The sequence below is a fragment of the Homo sapiens genome, chromosome 11, assembly GCF_000001405.40.
Source record: "Homo sapiens chromosome 11, GRCh38.p14 Primary Assembly".
In the NCBI taxonomy this organism is placed as follows: domain Eukaryota; kingdom Metazoa; phylum Chordata; class Mammalia; order Primates; family Hominidae; genus Homo; species Homo sapiens.
The window spans coordinates 105,784,738-105,810,365 of NC_000011.10; the positions used below are offsets into that span (position 1 = coordinate 105,784,738).

General features: G+C 34.3%; 1 protein-coding gene across 26 annotated transcripts in view, besides 1 other annotated feature; it reads left to right on the plus strand.

The window, feature by feature from the left end:
* Nucleotides 1-25,628, plus strand: part of GRIA4 (glutamate ionotropic receptor AMPA type subunit 4) — a 372,097-nt gene that overhangs the window by 174,744 nt on the left and 171,725 nt on the right. The window lies entirely within an intron of this gene.
* Nucleotides 15,171-15,674: an enhancer, noted in NCBI's record as "NANOG hESC enhancer chr11:105670634-105671137 (GRCh37/hg19 assembly coordinates)". NCBI's record gives its function as "activates a minimal SCP1, AML or CMV promoter by ChIP-STARR-seq in primed H9 embryonic stem cells {active_cell/tissue: H9 hESC(primed)}" and the evidence as "EXISTENCE:reporter gene assay evidence [ECO:0000049][PMID:30033119]".

The window sequence follows — 25,628 nt, forward strand, 5'->3', positions numbered from 1 at the left end:
ATCCTCCTTAATTAAGCATTTTGTGGGCATAAATAAGATGTGTTGTAAGAAAGGGACCTGTTAAAGCAAAACATAACCCTTTTGCAAAGAAAAAAATATTTTTTAAAAAGGTCAACATCACTTATTGGAAAGAGTACAGCCATGATTTGTAAATTAGAGATTCTGATTCAGTGGATATAGGATAAGGCCCAGGAATCTGCAGTCTTAGGCATCCTACGTGATTCCAAATACCAGGGTTTGGGAAACACTGAGGTAGCAATAATAAAATCTACCATGTATTAAGCCCATGCAGCGTTCCAGCTACTGTTTATATGCTATATATAAATTAACTAATTTAATCCTCCAAAACACACTTGTGCCGGATTTCAAACCCAGGCAGTCTGCCTCCACAACCTAGGTTCTTGCTGGTGCATACTATACGTTATTGGGGCTCAGATAATCAGAGACATAAACTAGTCTCTCTGAACTTCAATTTCTTCATTTGCAAATTCAAAATTTATTTATTTAGGGTGAAAAATAAATGAGGTACAATCCATCAATACCATATTGAAAGTGTTTTGCACGTATATATAAATATGCATATATTGATAATTGCTATTAGATTGATCAATTAGATCAATCTGAGAGACAATATATTTTATTTCTATTAAATGAGGAATAAGCAAGGCATTACAAAAAAGAACAGAATGAAAAATGGTAAATAAATAGAACACCAGTTAAGATTTATTTAGATGATTGCTATAAAGTACCAATGGGCATCAATTGTTTCTTGGAAAATCATCACGATCAAACATTTCTGAAGCATGAACCAGGCAGATGTTGATGTACCTTAAACTTTTAGTGTTTTCCAAACCATGGTCCTTCCCATGGGAACTGACATTATAAATCAAGTGATGTTTATATCTTTAAGGTTATATGAACATTAAAAGTTACTTGTATTATATTTGATATTGGATAGACGACATTTCTAAACTGATATTATCTGCTTTTTACTCTGGTACTAAAATCAGGTAACTAAAACAAAAGGAAATGGTGGCAAACTCTTGGTTTAATCTGTATAAATTGTCGATAATATCAATTGACTAAGAAAAAAGTATTCATGCCTAGAATGAAATATCTGCTATTAGGCTGGGGGTGGTGACTCACACCTGTAATCCCAGAACTTTGGGAGGTCAAGGAGGGTGGATCACTGAGGCCAGGAGTTCAAGACCAGCCTGGACAACACAGTGAAACCCCGTCTCTACCAAAAAATACAAAAATTAGCTGGGCATGGTGGCCACACCTGTAGTCCCAGCTACTTGGGAAGCTGAGGCAGGGGAATCGCTTGACCCCGGGAGGTGGAGGTGGCAGTGAGCCGAGATCGAGCCACTACATTCCAGCCTGGGCGACACAGTGAGACCCTTTCTCAAAAAAAAAAAAAAAAAAAAAGGAAAGAAAAAGGAAGTATCTGCTATTGACCAGCAATTTATGACAATGTTTTGTAAAATATCTATGCCCACATTATGACTCTTAAGATCACATTACCGAGTTGAATCTTCTATTCAAGAGGATTATCTCAAGTCATAATGAAAGTGCGGCAATAAATTGTTTCTTTTAGGTTTATTACAACAAATTTCAACTGGATCATTTGAACAATGTAGATGTTTACATCTCAGTGTACTATTGATTTGTGGAACATTTAGCTTTCTTATTCTTGAATTTCTCCTTGTGTGAGTTCTTTAGTTGAAAGATGACACACTAAACAGTATCCAAGACTGAAGTATAATCATTTATTCATTTAACCTAAAATTTTCATGTGTTGATGTTATATTATGTACTATGCTAGGTTCCGGGAATTAAAAGATAAATATTACATAGTACATAACCTAGTCTTTCCCTTCTAATTCAGTGGAGGGAAAAATCTTTCCCCCAGAAAGGTTTTTTATTAAACGTGTATGTGTGGTATTTTTGTTTTTTGGGTTTTTTGCTTCTTTGTAAGGTAAGCTTAAAAGCGATTTTGCTATTACTCTGCAGGAGAAGCTCCGTTAGAATCTTTAATTTACAAAACAGTGGTTTTAATTGAACCACTAGCAATTATACTGTGAATTAGACTGCAAACATGCTATTATAATGCATCTTGGACTTTCAGAAAACAGAATTGGACTCCCATAAGCAAAGAGAGAAATCTCCTTCAGTGAGGAGGTAAACAGAAAGCTATCAGAGCCAACACTCACCCCCATGGAGACAGGCATTGTTCTCTGACTCTCCCAGCTTCTCCTCAGAAAGAGCTGAAAAGCACTCTTTCTTAGTGTACATTTTAAACTTTACGGTGATTTCCATCCCTGCCATTCTGGTGAAAGGAACAGAGAGACTATAACCTGGTAGGCCAAGCCAAAGACAACTAATTGAGCACTGATCTCTGTTCCAGTTCAGAAGTGTTCCAAATTCATTTTTCTGTGTATAAAGAAGTCTAAAGGCATTTAACTCTATGACAAACTCATATTCAAATTAATTAATAAATTATTATATAAACCTTTATAATGTAAATTTGAGCAATAGTGATTATTTTTCCCCAATCAATTAAAGTACATAAGGCCCTACTGTTTAGGTAAAGGCTGTGTTAGACCCTCTGAAGCATACAGAAAACGTAAGATACTGTTATAAGTCAGAGAATTTAAAGAAATCCAAGACAGGGGAAACATTTTGTAATCAACACAAGACAGACTAAAAGCAGTCTAAAAGATGTAAAGAATTCCTTTTTTTTTTTTTTTTTTTTTGAGATGGAGTCTTGTTCTGTCGCCTAGGCTGGAGTGCAATGGAGCGATCTCAGCTCACTTCAACTTCTGTCTCCTGGGTTCAAGCAATTCTCCCACCTCAGCCTCCTGAGTAGCTGGGATTACAGGCCTGTACCACCAAGCCTGGCTAATTTTTGTATTTTTTAGTAGAAATGGTGTTTCACCATGTTGCCAGGCTGGTACAGAATTCTTGTACAGAATTCTTTACTTCGAGTTCAGAAACAAGAGAGCTGATGAAGATGGGGGGAATCACATAAGTACTATTGATATCACACAAGTTTAACATTTAAAAATTTTGCTTAACTACTGTTTGTTTCTACATAAAAAGATGAATCATTACAGTTCCTTTAGTTTTTGGGTTGTTTTATTATTTGTTTTATTAGCATTACTATTGAAAATATAGTATCTTTTGTATAATATGATCCTATTCAATGAATAGGAGTAGATTGACTGCCCATTACAAAGAAGAGCTTCTCCCCTCAGATGAAAGATAGAAAGGCATGTGGATTTAGTCAAGGTTTGATCAGTAAAGAAAGTACTATTGTTGACAACAAAATAATGTTCAATTAGAAAAATGAACTTTGAATGACCACATCTCCCAAAATGCTGTATTTGCAATATGCTGTATTACAAAAAGGCTTTCAAATGTTCTAAATCAACCCATAAAATGTTATGTGATTGTTGTAAAATTAAGATAACTAAGACATTTTATTATTAGAAAATCAAAAAAAACAAAAGATGTTGGCATGGATGTGGAGAAAAAGGTATGCTTATACACTGTTGGTGGAAATGTAAATTAGTACAATCTGTAGGAAAAACAGTATGGAGATTTCTCAAACAACTAAAAACTATCATTTCACCCAGCAATCCCACTACTAGGTATCTATCCAAGGGCAAATAAATCTTTATATTAATAAGACAGCTGCAACGTATGTTTATCATAGCACTATTCACAATAACAAGGTCACTGAATCAACCAAAGTGTCCATTAATGGTTGACTGTATTAAAAATATATATAGTACATATACAACATGGAATACTATGCAGCCAGAAAAAAAGAACAAAATCATTTCATTATAGCCACATGGATGGAGCTGGACACCATTATCCTAAGTAAAATAATTTAGAAACAGGAAACCTAACACTGCATGTTCTCACTTATAAGTGGGAGCTAAACAATGAGTACACATGAACATAAAGATGGAAACAACAGACACTGGGGACTCCAAAAGGGATGAGGTTGGGGATAGTGAGGGTTGAAAAGAAAAGAAAAGGCTTTCCACTGCTAGTCAATATCTCCGGGACTGGTTGGATGAAAACCCAAAAATGGATCCTGAAATAAGGAGATTCAACTCTCCCTTGAAAAATCTTATAGTTCTGATAAAATATATTTATATGAAGACTAGGCAGTGACATGAAAATCACATTCAAAAAGTTGAATAATTAATGGTGGAATCCTTAAGCCACAGGGAATTAGGACTTAGGACTAAATTGTCTACAACCAAAAGTACAAGTTAGACATTCCTAGTGACACACAGGTAGATAAAATAATTTAATGGAATCTACCCTCATTCTGAAAATAAAATCTGACCAAAAGATAAAAAAGCATGCTTTTTTGGAACAGAGAACATAAATTTTATAGCATCACAGATAGAACTGGTAAAAACCAAAAGGCAAAAAAGGCAGCAAAAACAACTTAAGATGTTAATTCTTTGATATGATGAACTATAGATCTACAAAAATAGTAGTCATATGCTTCCAAGCCATTGGAATTGCAATTATAAAAGACCACTGAGGGTAGAGTCTCATCAATGGTTACAGGTTTATATTAGATCTCAGACTGCTGAGAAAGCTTTCCAAGATGATTCAAGCCCCCATTGATTTTTATCTTCTCCGAACTCATCAAGAACATAAAAAGTCTAACACCAATTATAACATTTATGTATGCCAAGCAAAATGCATATTCAAATAAGTGTTCAAAGTGTTCAGAGACAGGTCATGTATGTCCTCCCGCCCCTCCTTTGTTCTTGGAGCATAATCAGCCTTGGTGCTGGATCTGAAGGGCCTTTAATTAAAGTGCCCTGTGACCATGAGCAGCTCTACCTCTTTAGGCATCAGTTTTTCAGCTGGAAAGTTATTAGAGTCAATCATACCCCTTTCTCACTGCAGTTCCAACAATCCAAATTCTTTTATCTTATTTCTGTTGACATTACTTAAAAGAAAAACACTAAAGATAATATTTTGATGTGAAGTGAAATTTAAGCTTACATAAGCACATTCTCTAAGTGGATGTCTTTAAATTCATTATTGCTCAGGGTGACTTTACTGATCAAAAGAAGCAGCACCAAAAAAATTGCTAAGTGAAGTCATTGTGGTACTCTTAACAGTCCTAAATGTCAATTTGAAGAATAGGCTGCTTCTTCTGAAGCACTCCTATTTAAAATGGAATGGACAGCAACACTGATGGATGATCAAGGCAGTCTGAATCACACAAGGGGACTTTATGCTTCTGCAAGTGAGAAGGAAAATGCAGAATTTTTTTTCTATCACTCTCACACAGCTATGAAATGCTGTTTGCTATTCAAAATGCAAAACTGCCAACCAAAATCTTAGAGAAGATAATCCATTCTTTCCTTCCACCTGCATTGGTAAGCACAACAAGCTGGGTGGGAACTTCTCCAAATTTTTTTATTCTGTCTCCCTTTGTACATTCTTTTACTACACAAACTGTGTTCTCTAGCTCACCTGTCAGAGAGACATCTGTTACCTTTATAGAAGCCAATGCACATTGCTGTGTGTCACGCTTTAGTAATTCACTGCCAATACTAGGACAAATCTTTTTACAAAGCTTTGTCTGAAAACTCTCTTTTGATCCATCAGTCACTAGGGGTACATGTGTTGCCCACCCCTCAACTTCAGACAACAGTGGCAGGTGATCTATGAGCTTAGTTGTCTTCTCCCATGCAGCTAAAATGACACACTACCTCCTAGCTCCCTTGCCGGTTTTTAAACTACCCTGGCAAGCACGGAGAATTAATAACAAAACATGAAGCATCCCAAATGTAACCTTAATGCCCTTGTGCACCCATTCTTCCATTACTTTTTCACCTTTCTGCCTCAAGCCAGGGAAATAAAAGGATTAGACATAATGCTATAAATTTAAAAATAATGGAAGTCTTAGCACAGGTTTGCAAGACATAGAATTATCATGGTACTACTGACACTTTAAATGTAATGATTTGATATATCAGAAAAGTTCTTTGAGATCCAGAAAAGATGAAGAGAAGAGCTAAGTCTGGAAAATGCGAGTTAAAATAATGGATCATTATATGTGGAAGCATATATCCTTCCATTTCCTTTTTATGTGGTTTGATTATTTGCTTTCTTTGCTGCCCTGAAGAACCTTGGCTGTCCATTGCAAAATGCTCTTCGTATTGACAGCATTCTACTCTATTTATCATCATGCAGAGCCTGTGTCAGCAGATCCAATGGCCTCTCTGAGTGTGGCCCTCCCACTGGGTAGATGATGAGCTCGGCTGATCCATCCCTGAAAGTGCTGAGGGAGCTTCCAGCACAGATGGCCTTCTTGCTGATCATGTCTGAGGGTTTTGTTTTGCTTTTTTCCCCCTAAATTGGCTCATTTAATACAAGATACATGAGAGGCAGTTTGGTCTAAGCCAACAGCAACAACGAAAAGTAGAATTATGAATTAGAGTGCTGCTTTAAAATCAAAAGACAATCACCAAAGTAAAGATATTGTCTGTCCACAGTGGTAAAGAGAAATAATTGTGATATGCATTTATATTCATATCAATACTAATATGTCCAAACGAAGTGTATTTTGTTGGTTGGTCTCAACAAAAAACAATGATTGTGCATTTAATGCATAATGTTCTTCTATAGAGTTGTAAATGTTTTTCTAATTAATTTTTTAAGTTGAAAAATATTACAGATGCATTATACATGTGGGGCTTCCATATTCATCGTTAATGAAGATTACTCCCATTTCAGTCCTCAATTCTTAGTGATTGTTTCTCTTACCAGTTTCTAAATGTGCCATGGAGTGCCAAGTTCTAGTCCTGTTCAGTCTTCTCAACTACATAGAACATGTATCTGCACAAAAACATGGACCTGGTAATATTAGCTACTCAGTGATTCTTTCAACTGTTCAAAAGGAATGACCTAGCTCAACTTATAGAGAATTTCTCATCATAAGATAGAGAAAAATAAGGCACCTGAGTGTCCAAAGCACTCAGCAATATGAATTTGAATGTCCATTTGAAGTTAACATTAGAAATTTAATACTAAAGTGAATTACACGTGGGCAATGTCATGAATGCTGTATAGCATTAAAGCTTAGTAAGAGGATTTATTCCAGGATGACAAATAGGAAATGTAGAAGGGCTGGGGACGTTCTCAGGGAATTTCATGTAAGACAGTTTATTCTCATGGATCTGATCTAGTGTTGACTCAAATGAAAATAGAAGCAGCAATATCACTTACCCTTAGGTAGCTGAATTCTTTTAAAATATGTTTTATAAATGCCACATGTCAAAGATATTAGAAAAAAATTTCAAGAATGCCAAAGCATAAAACTATACTTGTTTCTTCTCATAGGAAAAGCAGGAATAAAATAATACTGAACTTCATAATGACTATTAAGCTTGTAACATAAAAGTAAACACCAGTTTGTGTAATATGATGAAATTTACAGAAAGTACAAGAAATAAACGAACATCAAGAGCTAGAACTTAAATTATGTTAAAATAGTTTAAGAATATTCAGATATAAAAAGTCATTTGCAAAAGGGGTGGTCATAGTCAAATTTGAAATTTACTTTGCCTAAAAGCATTGTATAAGAGAGTTCCAGTGAGAGAGGTACTTTTGACAGTAACAGTGAACACAAAATCCTCACACCTTATAATTAAAATTTTTATATATTTGTATTATAAGAAGCACCATTTCTTCAAGAATAAATTAGGTACTTTTTCATGTGGAAAACAAACACAACTTTTAGTCATAACTTTGATACATGTTCCATATACCACCCAAAATTTTGCATGCCTTACCTTTATATTAGAGAAGTAAATTTTCAAAATTAGCAACACATACTTTTAACATACCTGAAGATATTTGCTTATTTCTTCCAATAAATATCAATAAAAGGAATGGCGGTTATACATATCATTATTTTTAAAACTATCAGTTTAATTTTAATTTCTAATTAAAATCCTTATCTAAGTTGTTCAGTTCAATGAAAATAATTTAACAAATTTAAGACACTGCCTTCAACTGGCTTATAGTTTAGAGCAGGAGACAGACCCTAAATGAGTATTTAATATTGCATCTGGGCACTTGGTCTGATCTATGCCAGTTTGCCAACCAGAGTTTGTCCAACATACAAGACAGGCTGCATATGATCCCTACTATATACTCAGAAATTGAATTATTGAGATGTTCAACAATACACTCAAAGGCATTTCAGATTCTCAAACTTTCCCTATATTCTCTTATTTAAGGAAAAGTGCACAGTGTAAACAAGTTCTTATGCCAGCAGGCTAATCTCATAATTTCATTTAAAATACTTTGAGTCAGTTCAAGAAACATTTATAGAGAACTACCAAATGCTGAGCACTATGCTGACTTCTGGAGATGTAAATAAGATGGAGCTACCACTCTCTGGGGGCCCTAGATTAGACAAGGCCGATGGAGTGAGGTCCAGAAAGTCTCTTGAGTGCATCCACAAGTCTGCACCATTTCCCTTGGGTTTCAAAACTGTGGACAGCGACAGGGATACTACACAGACCCTATTCTACCACTTCCCCAGGGGTAAATAGAGGCAAAGGGACAATACAGGTCAAGCACTAAGATTATCACATCTAGGGTTCCTGCTAGGTCTGTCTTCTGCTCCATCAGAGAAGAGACCCATAGAATCCCACAGCAGGGACTATTAAAAATGCATATAATGTCACTTTTTAAAGGGCTCTGAGAGCTCCACAATGCAGGACTCTATTACCTCTCTTAAAGTGGATCTTTAAACATTCTTAATAAGGCAATGGATGTTCACAGATTTGAAAGCCTCCCATGAAGCTGTTCCTCCCACAGGAATTTGGAAGCAGTGATTCAGCGGGTGCAACAAAGTCTCTGCTTTTCTGGAGAACTTTAGCTCTACCAGACACAGGGTCATGGAATGTCTGGTAGACATAGAGCTTAGGGGAAGGAAAGTGGGGATATCAATACACAGGCAGAGAATGTCACTCTTGCCAACTGTCCAAAAATAGAGATATGCCCAACATGCTATACACAGGCAGAGAATGTCACTCTTGCCAACTGTCCAAAAATAGAGATATGCCCAACATGCTATTTGAACACCAAAGGATGTTTGGAGGATTCCTAACCACAATGGTGAAGCAGTGTGGGGAAGAATGGAGAGAACTCTTCACAGAGTAAGAGATATTTTAATCTTGAAGAGTTAGTATTTAATCAGGAGCAGTAGGCACTCACAGAAGGAAGAATTGCATGAGCAAACACAAAGAGATGTGAGAATTATAATTCTGCATATCTAGGAGCCATAAATGTAGTCGGCAGTTATGATAATGTCTATTTTAAGGGTAATGACAATCACTCAATTTCTTAAATGGTCTCTTTGTCCACCAATTAATTCCAAATTCCAATGGCCGATTAAAAACTATCTTATTCGGTGTTTGTGGGCACTTATTGATCTTAGAAGAAGACAAAGCAAAAAGAGGAACATTCATGTTTATAAACAGTCTATGAAATGCTAGAGACTGCTTTCCTTTTCCAATGGAGTGAAAACCCTGTGATACAGGGTTTTTGGCTTGTTATTCACAGCTCTATCTCCAGCAAATAGAACAGGAACTGGTGTATATACACACATATATGTGTATGTGTGTGCCGGGGTGTGTGTGTGTGTGTGTGTCTGTGTGTGTGTATATGTATGTATATATATATATATATATATATATATATATATATATATACATATACACACACACACATATCTGTCTCTCTGAGATATATACATATCTATCTATATCTATCTATATATATCTCTCTCATAAGATATATACATATATATATATAGAGAGAGAGAGTTATGGTTGTGGTTATGGTTATATGGCTATGTAGTAATAAATAGGGATTCAATGATAAGACAGATCTGAGACCTGTCCTTACAGAGCTGACATTCTAATCCAGGGGTTTTAATCTTGGAGATGGAGAATTGTAAACTTCTAGATAGGAAAAAAAATTACATCTTAATTACATCTTTAGTTTTCTTAACCTGAAACTCAAATTTAGCATTTAAATTATGAATATAGGCCATAAACCACCGAGGTATTAGCAGTACCTGTGACTTTGTGAAACATTAAAAATCACAGATAATTACATACCACATTCAGTGTTGCACACATCTGAGAAGACCATTTTTACTCATAATGATTTTGAAACTGTTATTGACACACCATTAGGTTTTGTTATTTAATGCATTAATAAAGAATCAGGTATCTTATCATATCACAAATTTAGTTTTAATACTTTGAAATTGAATTTCAGTTACATGTGTATACATGTGCCATGCTGGTGCGCTGCATAACTGGTTACTTTTGTTGTCTGTGTAATTTATTTCATACATTTAAAAGCGTAGTTCTGAGAAAAGAACTACAGACTTCACCAGAATGTTTAATAGGTTAAGGATACCAGAAATTGTTAAGCACTCCAGTCTAGAAGGCAGGAAAGAAATTAATTAAACAAGAGATTATTAAATGACGTGACAAGTGAACTGATAGAGGAAGAATACGATGTTATCACCATACACGCACATAGTAGTTCAGAGTGGTCTTCTAAGGATTCATGGAGAAGTCATGCCTTGGCTCCCCCTGAAAAACTTGTAGGAGAGTATGAAACATTCAAGAAACTGAAGGAAGTTTATTACGAAAGGAACTAGAGTGTGAATGTGTGATGTGGACGTTTGGGTGCAGGAGATGAGGGGTAAGAGATCATCTTAGGCCAAGTGAGAAAAGACTTAAAATAGTTTGCACTTCATTCTAAGGGTAATGGAAAGCTAGTGATGGGTGTTAACAAACTGAGAGTAAAAGATCACTCTGGAGAGAACTGATTTGGAAAGGGGTAAGCACTAAGCCAGGGAAAGCAACACTTAATGGTTGTAATAATTTGAGAAGATCAGAGATCTTCATTCTTTTTAGAAAAATAGAAAAATGAAGAAAATCAACATGGTGCTAGAACATCGATGCTTATTATGCATTTATATTCAACTTTATTACTATATTATTGTTGTTATTGGCATAAACTTTATAGCTGTTGCCTAAAAATACAATACATTTATGCTTCTTTCAGTGGCTTAGATAATTCAAAGTAAAATAGAGGAAGTAAGGTAGGAGCTTCAGCAAATGACAAGTGGCATTTTGGCTGAGAGTTCATGCAGGAAAGATTGCCAGTCACAAATGCCTGCAGAGAGACCCATTTCTAATCATTATCCCAAGCTTTCAGTTTTGACGTAGTGACTTCTTGATAACCTGTATCATTTTAAAATATATTTATATCAGGTGCTTCCATTTCAATTTTATCTTCAGCCAAACCCTCTCTTTTCTGTACTGTTCATTCCCCAGGATGCAATTCAATATTTTCATTGATTCCATCCAACTTATCCATTATCCTAAAATCAAATGCAGTACATTTGGCAAGACTGTCCAAATGTTTTGCTCTCTCTACCATGTGTTTATTTATTTGGGTACTTTCTATTTGATCAAATCTTCAATCTGTCATTTTTCTTTTTCAAACCTTGAATCTGAAACATGATACAACTTTGATATTGATTATATAAGTTGGCAGCAGTTAGTGAGATTTGGAAACCATGTGAGCTGGCCTCTCAGAGCATCTAGTTTCCACTGTAACTAGCCTCATGGATATAAATTCTCATTTTAGTCATACATTTCCAAAATTTGATAAATACTGTGTCATTACTGTAATTACCCTCAATCAGTCCCCTTTTGTGTAGGATGATTGCCATCAGTGTTCTGGTTTCTCCATCTTCCTGTGAGGTGCAAAAGAAAACAAGTAGACCATAGGTAGTGAGTAGTTATCTGTAGTTTATTCATATGGGAAACTAAGAAAGTAACATTAAGAAAGAAAAGTTATCGTTTTGCTAGAAAATAAAGTGGCCCCTTAAGTAAATCCAGGAAAATCTATTTTTCCATAACATTTAAAAGATTAATACTTTCAGAGCTACTGACACTTTTCTAAACATCTCAGAGAAGGTTTTATCATTAGCCTTTCTTTTCTTTACAATGTAAACTTTAATGTTGTATTTTGGTAATGAGAAGAAAGAAGTCCAAAATAAATCCAGGGACTATACAGAAGGCACCATATTAGAAGCATTGATACATAAAAATACCGCTGGCCAGGCATGGTGGCTCATATCTGTAATCCCAGACTTTGGGTGGCCGAGGTGGGTGGATGGCTTGAGCTCATGGGCAACATGGTGAACCCCCGTCAATACAAAAAATAAAAAGTCCGGCATGGTGGTGCATGCTTATAGTCCCAGCTACTCCAGAGGCTGAGATGGGAGGATGGCTTAAGCCCAGGAAGTAAAGGCTGCAGTGAGCCGAGATCACGCCACTGCACTCTAGCCTGGATGACAGAGCAAGACCCTGTCTTGAAAATAAATAAATAAATAAAACAAATGAAAAGAAAGAAAAAAAGGAAATAGTATAGCATTTGTGTTTAGGTGAAAAACAAGGCGTAAGCAAAGCCCGCTAACAATACAAGGGTATGGAATTAAGGTTTATGAGTAATGTACTCCTTTTAGAAGAGAATTGTGGTGTATGTGTAACTTCTATAAAATCAAAGTATTTTGGTTCCACAAATATAAATAATCAGGAAGCCTGATTATATAGTTAGCATTCGGGCCTAAGGTTACACTCTAGCTTTCAAATTACCACGCCCTAAAATCTCAACTCTCATGTGTTTTTCTTGGAATACCACCTGCCATATTAAAACTTATTCCCCAATTTCACCTCTAATTCATTCTAGTCACTCAAGACTGCAGTGTCCTTCCCATCTGATTCTTTGTTCTCATAATCTGGCTAAATGTCACCTTAAATCAACTTAATCGTGCTACCTTTTCTGAAACTATAATGAGTTTCTTTGTGTCTTGTTCATTTCTCTTTTGTAGGACTTGTAATCAGTACCACACCATTGGCAAGTAATTGTATGCCAAGTTCTGTTGTTCACTCTTGGCTTTATGTGCTCTACAACAAGAGCATAAACTCCATAACTGCTTGCCTTTTAGGGCCTAGCACAGAGCTCAATGTATTTAATTACTTGATTGCTGATTCAAATTTAAACAATGGAAATTACATACATTTTTGGAATGAGCTGATGCCAAGTTTGAATTCTGCCTCATCTATGTATTCATTTATTGAGCAAATATTTATTGAGCACCTACTATGTGCCAGGAACTATCCTAGATTCAGCAATAATAACACTACTAAAATCAATAACAATATGCATATATATAAAACCACACATAGACATAAACACACACACATACACACACACACATGCACAAGACAACACTTCCTATAGCCATGAAGCTTACATTCAAGTAATAGAAGTGGACACTTAAAAAGATGAATTAGATAATATCATAACAAAGAAACATAAGTAAAGCAGGGAACAAGGATATGAAGTATAAGATAAAGGAAAAGTTGAATCACATGAGAAGGTATATTTAACAAAAGACCTGAAGAAGGTGAGGGAGTTATTCCTGAGGACTTCTGTGGAAGAGATTGTTGGGCAGGAGGAACACCAAATGCTGATACCCTGAGTGAGCAAGCAGCTTCTTTACAGTGTTTCAGGGAGAGTGACAAAGCCAAAGTGGGTGGAAAGAGGGAACAAAGATAAAAAGAGGAGAAAAGGATCTCAGGCAGGTAATGGATGCTACATTTCTTGGAACTTTGCAAGCTTTCATTCTGACTAAGAAAAGGAGTGACATAATCTGACATATTTTAGGATCTGTCTGTATACTAATTAAGAATGGGTGTGGACAGAGACACAGAGGCCGATTAGGAGACTGTGGCAATAATCTAGATGAGAAGATGGTTGAACTGGCACTAGGAGTGGTGAGAAGTGGTTGAACTCAGAATATGTTTTGAAGGTACAGACAACAGGATTCTGAATGTGACAGAAAGGAAGGAGCCAAAAACCGTGCTAAGCTTTTTGACTCTAGCAACCAGAAAACAGAATTGTCATTACTGAAATGAGAACAGAGGAAAGAATATTGGTGGGAAGTCAGGTAGTGCTCAGGTTTTAACATATTAATTTTGAAGTGCTTATCATTAAACCTCCTACTGAACATATGAAGTAGGCAGTTAGATATGTTGGTATGGAATTCAGAGGAAAGTTATTAGTATTAAGATGGTATTTAACTCATCCCCAGAGAGTGTTAGTTCATAGATAATGAGAGAACAACAAGAGAAATCCAAGTTCTAAACTCTGCCCTATGGCACTCTGATCCTTAGAGATGGTTGAGATGAAAAGGAACCAACAAAGAAACCGAGAACAAGAGTAGCTAGAGTAGCTAGCAAGGTAGAAGGAGAACTAGGTGAGTATGTTTAGATGCCAAGTATCAAATGGTTTTAAGGGAAGAGTGATCAGTGTGGTCAAATGCTAAGGAATGGCCACTGGATTTAACAGCATGGTGATCACTGGTGACCTTCTCAAGAGCAGTTTCATTGAATAGAGTAAAAACCTAATCTGAAGGTGTGCAAGAAAGAGCAAAAAGAAAGAAACTGAGGATGGCAGGAATAGAGGACTCTTTCAAGTAGTTTCGATGTCAAGAGGATGGGAATGAGTCAGTTGCTGGAGGGAAAATGGGATTAAGATGGGAGAAATTACAACGGGTATAGGGTGATGCAATAATCAACAAAGAAGATGATGATGCTGGAGACAGAGGAGAGACTATCTGGAAATGTTCTTTAGTAGATAATAGCAGATGGAACCCAGGGTAGACATAAAGGATTTGGCCTTAGGATTCACTCATAGTAACTGAATATTATTATATTACTATTTTATTACTATTTAGTTACTGTGTGGAATATTTGCATGAACAGATATAGTGGTAGGAATTTTTAGAAGTTCTCCTATGAAGGCTTCAATTTTTAGATGAAGCATGATTCAAGGTCATCTGCTGAAATCAAAGATGTAGAAAAGTTGAGGAAAGAGAAGAAAGGATTAAAAATCATCTAGCAAATTAAGAAAGGGAATGGACTAGGAACATAGAGTACAGTTACCAGGGATCATTTAGTATTTAAAGGCAGAATAGTTTGTTTCACTTTCTCTAGTAACATTCAGCTGTTAAGACGTAGGCTCAGAGTAACAAAGAACTGAATTTAAGCTGGATTGGAATTTTGCCAAATGAATGTGATACATTGGAGAGGGCAAAGGAGTTGAGGGTTTATGCGTGCATGATTATGATTACCCATAAATTTTAAGCTGGCTTAGAAAGCAAGAAAACACATAAAGACAATGAAAGATAGAACAAAAAAAGTAGGTCCAATAGATTAATGGTTCTAGTGGGATCAAAGGATTCTTAGAGTATAGCTCTAGAGGCAATTGGTCAGAGGGTAAGTGATTGAAATGGAGATTATGGAGAACTGCAGTTTTTGCCAATGTCAAAGGTATAAACATGAGAGTGAGTGACTACAGTGTGAAAGGGTGAAATCAAGAGAAATGACAAAGAGGAAGTTACACATAGCTTATGTAAATATTGAGACTACCATTTACTAACTAACTTTTAGCAAGTTATATTTTCTAAGCCTCAGCTTCTTTATAATTAGAATGAGGACAGTAATTGCCTCATTAGCTTAAAGTGTGGCTGTGAAGACTCCTAATGATAATGTGTCAAGGTACCTATGCCTTGGAACACTCAGTCTAGACTTTTCAAATTATGTCAAATTTAAATTAGGGGACAAGGATTGTTTCTCAAAACAAAAATACATAAAATTAATATAGACTAAATATTAAGAATTGTTTCAGCATATTTAAATTCAGACATGACTAATCAATTAAAATAATTGATGCATTCTGAATGAATAAGAAGTCAAATATTTATTCCTAAATCATCTTCTTCATTTATTTCCATAGTAAGCAAACTGTCCAATCTCGTTTTAGTTTTGCAGCATGCAAGACTCATCTAAGCCACTAATTTACTTCTGCTACATTAAAAATTTTAATTTTAAAAATAACTTTAAGATTCATTCTAAGATATAAATAAATAAATTAACAAGGTTTTCTTCCATGAATGAGCTTCTTAATATTAGCCTAGAATCATAAAACACATTTAAAATATAGGATAGGTGCTTTTTAGGAGATAGATATTATACAGGAAGTCAACTCAGAACCTAAATCAATTAACATAAAGTATAAATTAACTAAATACAGCATGGTATTAACAGTAACATAAATCTAACTTTCCTAGTAATTTATCACAATAGAAACATTAAATCCTAATAAAATTGAGCTATTTTGTTCAGGAAAACCCAGAATAACAACCTTAGAGAATGAAATTAGGAATAAACTAAGGATTTGGAAAACACAAAATCTTATTTCTTAAAACTCAGAGAGAAAAAAGGAAGAAACTGTATTTAAATGTATCTACCTGTTGAAATATTTAAATATTTAATATTTAAAATGATGAATCAATTTAAGTATGTGTGAAAAATACAGAAAAATTAGATTGTGATATTGAATGTTAAGCCTCAATAAACTTCAGGACAACAAATATTGAAAAACATGCAGGAAATTAGGATTATAAGAATGTAGGTTTTATTTTAATAAAGATTAGAAGTAGAGAGAAAAATGAACATTTTAACAGAAAAAATAGAAAGTAATATGTTTATCTGAAATAATTACTTTCTGAATAAAAAAGTGCCAAATAAACTTTGAAGAAATTCAGAAATATCTCTAACTTCAGAGCATAAGTGAGTTCCATTAAAGTTAGAGACATAATTTTTTATTTCAACTATGTTATTTTTAATGAGAAAAATCTTCCAATTGAAAACTTTGAGTTAAAAATAATAGCCACTACCATTTACTACCATTTACTGTCTACAATGTACAAGTACTATGCTCATTGTTGGTGAGGTCAAACTAGGGAAAAAAACTGTAGAGAAGCTGAATTTGACTAAAAATAAGACAGGATTTTCTAACAATAAGTGTTATAATGAAAATGGAATTGAGTTCCTTGGTAGATATTGTGCTTCTGATCACTGAAGGTATTCAAGCAAAGATTTCATGATATCTAACTAAAATACTTTGTAATACCAAGAAGAGTATGACACCTAGAGATGAGTCACAAAGGAAAAGACATGAAGGATAGCAGTATCACAAAGCAAGGTTGAAGAAAAGGCCAGCATCTGGGATGCCAATTTGAGCAGGACATGGCAGTAATTACTGGAGATCCAAGTAAGGGGATGAGTTAACAAAGGGCTAAATTGGCAGGCAGCCTGACTGGGTCCAGATGGGCAGATGCGGCCACATCAAAGAGACTCATCAGTTTAGTCAGTGACCCAAAGCAAACTTATAAGCCCAGGGCATCTGAGTTCTAGAGGCTGGTGGTGAGAGAAGAGAGCAGAAGAACAGAAATTAGCCCAAAAGAGGCTGGAATTCAAGAACAAGATTTCATCTGCTGGTAGAACACCAAAAGCAGAGCCCGCCTGACAGTGCTGGACCAGGAGATGTTGAAACAGAGCTTCCTCTATGCATTCCTATTTAAGAACTGAATCAACCTCTCAGATTTAAAACCATCAGAAATAACTAAGTACTCACAATATGAAGATGAGTAGTTATACCTTGATAACAAATAAAATCCAAACACTTGATTAACCTCTTCAATGACCTAGCTGTCAAGATGTAGAAAGTATTAGTTAATTGAACTTTGGGCACAAAATGAAGAAAAGATTTTGAAATGCAACCAAGCTTAATATCAAAAAAGTAATTTATAACTATTAAACTTCTCAGTCTATTTTCTCACTTACTCAGCAATTTAGTGAATCTATTGAAAAGTTTTCTGGATATTGCTTACTATTCAGTTCAAAATTTTTACAAATAAAAATATTGAGTATTTCTTTAATGTTTGGCAAGATTTTTTTACAGGAATATAGAATACATCTCTTCCTAGGCTATATCCTACAAGGTAGTTAATTACAAAGATTATGTCATTGAAAAAAACAACATTTATTTTTTATTTGTTTATTTCAAAACATATTGTTATACTTTTAAAATTTACATTAGGTTTATTTCACTTACATTAAGAATATAAATATTATAGATATTATGTAATATTTTATACACATATGCACACATATATACTAAAATCTTACAATAGTGCTATTCAATATAGAATTTAATTAGGTATATCTTAAATTTATCTTTGACTTAAATCACAGTAACTAACATTTGAAATTTTTAGGCAAGACCTTTCAACTCAAAAGAAATGTGATCTACCAGGTCACAGGAAATATAGATATGTCTACTTGTCTTTTATTACATTAATATCTCCGTGTTAAAATGTGTATTGAGCCAAGCACACTGCTTGTATAAAAATCACTTATTTTTATACATCTAATGGGACTGTTTAATGGGACCTTTTCATTTACCATTTCTTAGACTGTTCTTATATATAGTATCTCTGTTAATAGTTACCAAATTCTTGCAGGAGGCAAGGGAGATATTAGTTCCATGTTAGAGAGAAGAAGACTGCAGCTCTGAGAATTTAGGTTATTTGCCACTATGAAATTTAGATATTCTCTTGGCTAATGATATATTGATGTTCACCTGTATAAATAAATATATCTTCAATGTGCATATATACATATAAAATTTTATATAGATGAGAGTCTCACAGGTTACATTAATGTGCTTCATAAGGTGGAACAAAAGTTATTAATTATACATATTAATGTGAAAATTACATTACACTAAAAAGTTAACTCTTTTAACTGTATTAAGGCATAACTGAAGTAATTAAATCAATAGGCTCTTCTGAGAAATATTTTAGATCAATGTTCATGAACAGATCAATAAATTGATGTGCTATTTCTATCATAATTCCATTTTTAATTAGTTAAGCAACACACATTGTATATCTTCCAGATAAAGAACACTTCATGAGCTCCTAATGATCCTTGCTTAGAACCTCAAAAATGTAGGAAAGGTGGCCGAGTTCTCAAAGTAAGCTTCTGATATAGTTGGTAAATTGAATAGATAGGTGATTCTGATTGGTGCTATACCAAAAAAAAAAAAAAAAAAGAGAGAGAGAGAGAGAGAAGAGCCATGATTACTAGTATCTTGGAGGTTACAGTTGAGACTAGCTCTCACTTTTACATTTGACCTTTCTTAGATTTGAAAAAAAACAAAAGGTAAATTTGAAGAGGAGAAGAATGAGGAATTTGGGCATAGAAAATTAACAGACCTGTTCATTTGCTATATATGATTGGAATTTTATTGTAGGATGCATTATTACCTACTTATGCTTGATGCTGCATTTATTTAACATGCAGATTGGTAATCTAGTGGCTCTCATTTATATTACAAACAGAAAATGTTAACATCCTAATTGATAGATTTACATGATATGACATTTCATCATAGTTTTTCTTAGCCTTTGAGGCATATAAACCTGATTATTAAAGACATGTTATGATGTAAAGCTGTCTTTTTGTTTTCCGTAATAAATAAGTGTAACTTCATGAACATCAAATGTTCTTGCTTCCAATTTATTAAAACACACAAACACACATGCACACACACACACACACACACACGCACTAGACCACTGGACCATCCTCAGGAAATGACACATATGACACATCTCCATGTTAAAGGAAAAAAGCAGAATCCCCCACTTAACAAGTTTATAAAACTATGCATTGTATTGAAAAAGAGATAAAATGAATTCTAGTTAAGTTGTATACTCCTGCACAGAAAAATGACAGTAGACATAAGGCAGCCTTGATAAAGACTGTTAAAGTTTCAAGAAGGTAAATAAGTCACAGCTAACAATAGTTGGTTGGAATGAAGGGAAAAATTATTATAAAAATAAATTTATTTTATATGGATGATTGCACAATTTTAAAATTCTGAGAGCATGGTGGTAGCTGTTGGTAAACTAATGCCTTCATTTTTTAACCACATTCCTTCTCTTTTTGGAATGGTAGAAAAGCATGTTTTACTTGAAAACTATTTCTGTATGAAAGCCACTGGCAAGTTGTATTAGATGTAAAGATCATTGCAGTGGGATTTTCAATTAAATGACTGGAACACAGCAGTTTGCCTTTTTTCCAAAGAGAACATAAAAATGACTGCCAAGAATAAAAGAAATAACTGTTGATACCTATGAATATATAATATAAAAATAGGCTTTGGAGAATCTCTGTATCCTCATAAACTAAAGCAACTAATCTCAGGGACTATGCCCTCTTAGACACATAATTTTATAATTTGAAACAATTTTATAATGGACTGAGAATGTATGCAAAATTATATGCATAATATTTTAAATTAACACTTTGTTACATTGGTTATTTTAAGCTGGCCTTTCCTTATTCCATTTCTGTAATACCGACTTTTACTATGATATTTATTTGGGAATGAGTAGGCTAAAAAGAAATCAGAGTACTGTTCTACAGACACTCAGTATTAGCTAATTAATGTGACTCATCAGTGAAAAGATTGATTCGGCAATAGAATATAGATAGAAAAGGCGAAGCGATCATCCATAATCTAGTAAGGCAACTCACTCACCCATAACTGCTGGTTAAGAGGGAAAACATGAACAATTAAGTCTCTAAAATAGCTTTCCAATCAGTCAAAACTTCCAAAATGCCCAAGTAGTGTAAAGACCAAGTGGAGAGCAAGAAATCAGGAAAAAAAAAAAAAAAAAACAAGCCACAAAAAGAAAAACCCATATCAGAAGCCAAATTTTGGAATAACTAAGGCAAAAGGCATTAGCCAAAGTCAAACATCACCATAAACTAAATGACTGAATTAGCATAAAAGCCAAAAACAAAAAATTCAAGAATGCAAAAAGGTTAGTATAGTGATCAGCTGCACTTCCCTCTGGCTCTGGACTTTCTTGACCCTAATAATTGCTAATAGCTTAGGAGGTTATCCCATCCATAGACATTTCCATTTTAGTAAGGATTTATGAAATTTTAAAAGCCTTCTCGACACAAAGTGTGTATTCTACTATTAAATGACAAAATGTCAGATTCTGTGAAGTTATTTTGTGGCAGACAGCCTTCCTTAGTAACCCATAAATGTGGCCTAACTGGAAACGAAGGGCTTGACTCAAGATCCCATTTAATCAATAAATTTAGAAGAAAATATAATTAGATTAGAGAGGCCTTAAAACAACAAAGAACCAAAGCAATCTGTAATTGCAGAAGAGAAATTCAAAGCTAGCCTGATTTTATAATCCAATAAAAGTAATTTGTATTTTTTTCTTGTTCTCTTTAGACCAGTAAGTGTAAGCTTTTGTTTGTTTTAGTTAAAACATTTAAACTTCCCATTAAATAAGATGAACTGAATTCTTTGTTTGTTTGTTTACCACCATTTTCTCCAATATCCTACAAAATGACAATAAAAAAGAAATATAAGTGGTTGAGATATGTTCATATCCCCACATAATGGGAATAGGAGAACAAAATTGGGGGGCCAGTCAAGCAGAGAGATTTCAGGTATTTAATTTAGCAGAACAGAGGAAGCTGATGGCTAGATCAGAACAGAGAGATAGAACAAAGGAGAACAAACAATTCAAATCACAGAACCCATCAGAAAAGTTGAAGAATGGAGGTACCAGTTTCCTTGAAAAGAAGACCTCTGGGGCTGGAAACAGGTATATTGATTGAAAATGTATTTAAAAACTCAAACTCCCCATTTCTTTCCTAAGTCAGGTAAATGGCATTTGCCCACCTCTCATCCTGTACAAATCTGAGTGTTTACTTTTTGAGGAGAACAAAGCAAAGATATTCCAGACTTGCAGACACAAAACAGTTTAGAGAAGATGTGCCATGAAGAAAACAGGCTGTGAAATGAAATTTTGTATATTGAATGGTACCCAGGTCTTCTAGTGAGCTTTTTAGTGCCTTATTTGTAAATATTAGTGCACAGCCACTGAGAAATTCAAGAAAAGTGCCCCAAAAAAGTCCGAACACTTTAACGAGATAAGAGATGGTGCTACATATGCATGAAACAAGAACAGGAGACCATAAAAGGGAATATTCAAAAAACAACAAAAAAGATAGCTCTTGAAAATTAAAAAAAGATAACAAAAATAAATATAAAAAGGAATTGAAGTGTAACATTGACAAAATATTTTAGAAAACTAAAGACAAAGGAAATATAGAAGTGAAAAACTTAAGAGATATTGAGAATCAGTCCATGACACCAAATAGTCAAGCAATAGTAATTCCTAAAAGAGAAGACAGAAAACTAAAAATTTCATAGACTCTAAGGATAAGAATTTTCAAATTGAACAGAGCCATGGATGGCTCAAAACAACAAATGAGGGAAAAATCCTTATTTATGTCATTATGTAATTTAAGAACACTGGGAATAAAGAGTAGCCCCTAACTGCTTTCAGAGAGGGTAGTAAAATGATCTAATACAAACAATGGGAATACGATAACATTGTGTATTTAACTATCTCAAAATTATAACAATTTTATTAGAAGCATAAGAATGAAAGAGGGTAAACAGATATGAATTGTATGGAATCTAGATAGCTCAGTCCTCATCTTTTATGATGAGATATCAATAGATAATGTTAAACATTGAAAAAGAGTCAAGATATAGCAGTACAAGTATATTTTGAACTTACACATTTAGAAATTTATAAAGAAGTCAAAACCATCAGAAACTTCTAAGAGTTTCAAGTGCTTACCTCTGAGGAATAAAAATTGAGGTTACAGAGGAAAAATCTTTTTCTTTCTATGCCTTGCAGAACTAGCTGTCTTGATAAACTGGTATCAAACTTGATAACTTTGATTAATTTTCATTAGCAGTGTGTTTTGATGTCAATTTCTGCTTTGGTTTTTATGAAGATCAAAGAGACCTATACATATCCAATTATTTTTTTCAGCTCTGAGAAGTTGTTTGCTTGTGTTTTTTTTCTCCTTCTCTATCACAAATTCTTGGGTTTATCTCTGTCCATTATTATTCAGACTCTAGTTACTCATATAATAACTCTCCATATTTTATCTTCTACTCTAATCATTTCTGCTCACATTGTCTGCCCTTTGCTTACTTCCTTCATGTTCTGAATACTTCTCATAGTTACCTTCTGTTTAGCTTCAAATAATCTGTACAGCCTGTTACCTTTTACTGTTTTCAATGTTAATTTTATTTGATCTACTTCAATTTTCATATCTCAATACTCTCTTTTGATTCTCTTATTCTATTTAATAGAAAATAGCTATTTCTAAAATTTATTTCTTTGTAATATATTAAATCTGATTAAAGAGATAGATCCTACTCTGCATTTCATAGTGTTGTTCGTGTGTGTGTGTTAAAAATCTTTTCCATTGATCTAATATTATTGTTCTCTATTTATTCATCCATGAGATGGATTTGTTGATCTTTGTTTTGGGGCTCAATTAATTTTGAAGGGCTACTTTAAAACACACCCCTAGAGTCCTGGTTGAAATAAATTAAAATGCTACTCATATCTAGAACCAGAGAGAGAAAAGAAAGATAAACAATAATATGGGTGACTTTTAATGTGGCCCAGGTACTTGAAGTCCTTTCTCCCTGGATCCAAGGTTGGAAGGCAAAGAGAGAAGAGAGAGAAAAGGCAAGTATAGATCAATTTGCACTGGGAAGTTATGGTACTAAGACTTTTCAGAATTTGTAATAATCTTCATTCTTTTTTATTATTGTGGCTTGATCTAAAATATTTTAATGGTGATAAAGAAGTTGAGGAATGTCAAGGTCTTTGAGCATACCTGTAATTCAATCCTCTTTCCCAAAAGTTGTAAAATCAGATATACAGACAGATCAGATCCACAGACAAACAAATTCTTTAAAAACTGATAGAGATTTTGATCAAAAATATATTTAAGTCCATCTTCTCCCTAAATATAAATAAGTACATGGCTAACCTGTCTCACAAGTAGTAAAGTGCAGATTCAATCTATAAATCCCCTGAAATTTAAAATAACTGCTTTTCTAAAAGTCTGCTAACTAATAAAAATAAAACATTAATAACAAAGCAGGAACAGAAAGATCTACAGCTAAATTCCTAACATGACGGCAAGTGTAGAATTTAATGAATTCCAAGGAAAAACAAATAGCTTCACACATATTTAAATTTTTTTATTCAGGTAACCAAATAAAAATGCAGTTAGGTCAGTTAGTCATCATTTCTAAGTTTTTATTTATTTTTGAATATAGTATGAATTTTATTTGATAATTATTTGTTAATAGTGGTTCATTAATTGTGACAAATATACCTCACTGAGGTAAGATGTTAAAATAGGGAAAACTGGGTGCAGGGTATTTAGGAACTCTCTGTACTGTCTTTGCAATTTTATGTAAATCTAAAATTTTAAAATAAAAAAATTTAAAGTTAACCTATATTTTATTCTAACTCACTTTCTAATCTGTTTTTATTTTCATAGCTACATAATAGTTTTACATATTTATGGGGTACATGTGATACTTTGATACAAGCATACAAAGTGTAATGATCAAATCTAGGTAACTGGGATATCCATCACCTCAAACACTTATCATTTATTTGTGTTGGCAATATTCCAGATTTACCCTTCTAGTTATTTTAAAATATGTAATAAATTACTGTTAACTAGAATCTCCCTATTGTGCTACTAATATGGTTTGGCTCTGTGTCCCCACTCAAATCTCATCTCGAATTGTAATTCTCACATGTCAAAGGAGGGACTTGTAATCCCCACGTGTTGAGGGAGGGAGATGATTGGATCATGGAGGCAGTTTCCCCTATGCTGTCGCGTGATAGTGAGTGAGTTCTCACAATATCTGATGGTTTTATAAGGGCTCTTCCCCTTTACTTCACTCTCCTCTCTCTTGGTGAAGAAGGCCTTGCTTCCCCTTTGCCTTCTGTCATGATTTTACGTGTCCTGAGGCCTCCCAAACCATGCAGAACTGTGAGTCAATTAAACCTCTTTCCTTTATAAATTACCCAGTCTCAGGTAATATCTTTATAGCAGTGTGAGAATGGACTAGTACAGCTACCAAACGCTAGATCTTATTTCTTCTATCTTTACTGTATTTTTGTACCCATTACCCATCCCCTCTTTATCCTCCCCTCCTCACTACTCTTCCAAGCCTTTGGGAGCCACCATTCTTTTCACTACCTCCACAAGATCATTTTTTTTAAACTCCCATATATAAATTTTTAAAGCAGTTGCACAGATTTAAGGATAAGGTTGTTATCTGATTGATAACAATTCATTGGTTTCTACTTTTTCTCAGTGTGTTCCACTGATCCATCACTGTTGACCTATAAGGATTGGGAAGCCTTTCATTTTGTTTTGCTTCACAGCTTTCATCTGTCCAGCATGGAGTTCTACTTAAGGTCTCCATGTTAGAACAGCTTGTCTCCTTTGAACCCAAACAAATAACATCCATGTATTAATTTTCTACCTGCAATAATAGCATGACAGCCTTGTTGTGGGTGACAGTTGCAATCACTTAACTTAGTTTTAGCTCTGGGAGATAGCTTGCCAGTTGTTCCCCTCTTTCTTTTTTCTCAAAAGAGGTGAAAGAGAGGGAGA